This window comes from Homo sapiens, chromosome 7, assembly GCF_000001405.40.
Source record: "Homo sapiens chromosome 7, GRCh38.p14 Primary Assembly".
In the NCBI taxonomy this organism is placed as follows: domain Eukaryota; kingdom Metazoa; phylum Chordata; class Mammalia; order Primates; family Hominidae; genus Homo; species Homo sapiens.
The window spans coordinates 63,535,736-63,538,521 of record NC_000007.14 but is presented as its reverse complement, the minus strand read 5'-3'; positions in this window follow the sequence as shown (position 1 = coordinate 63,538,521).

Here is a 2,786-nt window from a genome sequence, read left to right as displayed (position 1 = left end):
ATAAAATCCTTTACAGACAAGCAAATGCTGAGAGATTTTGTCACCACCAGGCCTGCTCTAAAAGAGCTCCTGAAGGAAGGGTTAAACATGGAAAGGAACAACCGGTACCAGCCGCTGCAAAATCATGCCAAAATGTAAAGACCATGGAGACTAGGAAGAAACTGCATCAACTAACGAGCAAAATAACCAGCTAACATCATAATGACAGGATCAAATTCACACATAACAATATTAACTTTAAATGTAAATGGACTAAATGCTCCAATTAAAAGACACAGACTGGCAAATTGGATAAAGAGTCAAGACCCATCAGTGTGCTGTATTCAGGAAACCCATCTCACGTGCAGAGACACACATAGGCTCAAAATAAAAGGATGGAGGAAGATCTACCAAGCCAATGGAAAACAAAAAAGGGCAGGGGTTGCAATCCTAGTCTCTGATAAAACAGACTTTAAACCAACAAAGATCAAAAGAGACAAAGAAGGCCATTACATAATGGTAAAGGGATCAATTCAACAAGAAGAGCTAACTATCCTAAATATATATGCACCCAATACAGGAGCACCCAGATTCATAAAGCAAGTCCTGAGTGACCTACAAAGAGACTTAGACTACCACACATTAATAATGGGAGACTTTAACACCCCACTGTCAACGTTAGACAGATCAATGAGACAGAAAGTCAACAAGGATACTCAGGAATTGAACTCAGCTCTGCACCAAGTGGACCTAATAGACATCTACAGAACTCTCCACCCCAAATCAACAGAATATACATTTTTTTCAGCACCACACCACATCTATTCCAAAATTGACCACATAGTTGGAAGTAAAGCTCTCCTCAGCAAATGTAAAAGAACAGAAATTATAACAAACTATCTCTCAGACCACAGTGCAATCAAACTAGAACTCAGGATTAAGAATCTCACTCAAAACCGCTCAACTACATGGAAACTGAACAACCTGCTCCTGAATGACTACTGGGTATATAAGAAAATGAAGGCAGAAATAAAGATGTTCTTTGAAACCAATGAGAACAAAGACACAACATACCAGAATCTCTGGGACGCATTCAAAGCAGTGTGTAGAGGGAAGTTTATAGCACTAAATGCCCACAAGAGAAAGCAGGAAAGATCCAAAATTGAAACCCTAACATCACAATTAAAAGAACTAGAAAAGCAAGAGCAAACACATTCAAAAGCTAGCAGAAGGCAAGAAATAACTAAAATCAGAGCAGAACTGAAGGAAATAGAGACACAAAAAACCCTTCAAAAAATTAATGAATCCAGGAGCTGGTTTTTTGAAAGGATCAACAAAATTGATAGACCGCTAGCAAGACTAATAAAAAAAGAGAGAAGAATCAAATAGATGCAATAAAAAATGATAAAGGGGATATCACCACCGATCCCACAGAAATACAAACTACCATCAGAGAATACTACAAACACCTCTACGCAAATAAACTAGAAACCCTAGAAGAAATGGATAAATTCCTTGACACATACACTCTCCCAAGACTAAACCAGGAAGAAGTTGAATCTCTGAATAGACCAATAACAGGATCTGAAATTATGGCAATAATCAATAGCTTACCAACCAAAAAGAGTCCAGGACCAGATGGATTCACAGCCGAATTCTACCAGAGGTACAAGGAGGAACTGGTACCATTCCTTCTGAAACTATTCCAATCAATAGAAAAAGAGGGAATCCTCCCTAACTCATTTTATGAGGCCAGCATCATTCTGATACCAAAGCCGGGCAGAGACACAACCAAAAAAGAGAATTTTAGACCAATATCCTTGATGAACATTGATGCAAAAATCCTCAATAAAATACTGGCAAAACGAATCCAGCAGCACATCAAAAAGCTTATCCACCATGATCAAGTGGGCTTCATCCCTGGGATGCAAGGCTGGTTCAGTATATGCAAATCAATAAATGTAATCCAGCATATAAACAGAGCCAAAGACAAAAACCACGATTATCTCAATAGATGTAGAAAAGGCCTTTGACAAAATTCAACAACGCTTCATGCTAAAAACTCTCAATAAATTAGGTATTGATGGGATGTATTTCAAAATAATAAGAGCTATCTATGACAAACCCACAGCCAATATCATACTGAATGGGCAAAAACTGGAAGCATTCCCTTTGAAAACTGGCACAAGACAGGGATGCCCTCTCTCACCACTCCTATTCAACATAGTGTTGGAAGTTCTGGCCACGGCAATTAGGCAGGAGAAGGAAATAAAGGGTATTCAATTAGGAAAAGAGGAAGTCAAATTGTCCCTGTTTACAGACAACATGATTGTATATCTAGAAAACCCCATTGTCTCAATCCAAAATCTCCTTAAGCTGATAAGCAACTTCAGCAAAGTCTCAGGATACAAAATCAATGTACAAAAATCACAAGCATTCTTATACACAAACAACAGACAAACAGAGAGCCAAATCACGAGTGAACTCCCTTTCACAATTGCTTCAAAGAGAATAAAATACCTAGGAATCCAACTTACAAGGGATGTGAAGGACCTCTTCCAGGAGAACTACAAACCACTGCTCAAAGAAATAAAAGAGGACACAAACAAATGGAAGAACATTCCATGTTCATGCGTAGGAAGAATCAATATCGTGAAAATGGCCATACTGCCCAAGGTAATTTACAGATTCAATGCCATCCCCATTAAGCTACCAATGCCTTTCTTCACAGAATTGGAAAAAACTACTTTAAAGTTCATATGGAACCAAAAAAGAGCCCGCATCGCCAAGTCAATCCTAAGCCAAAA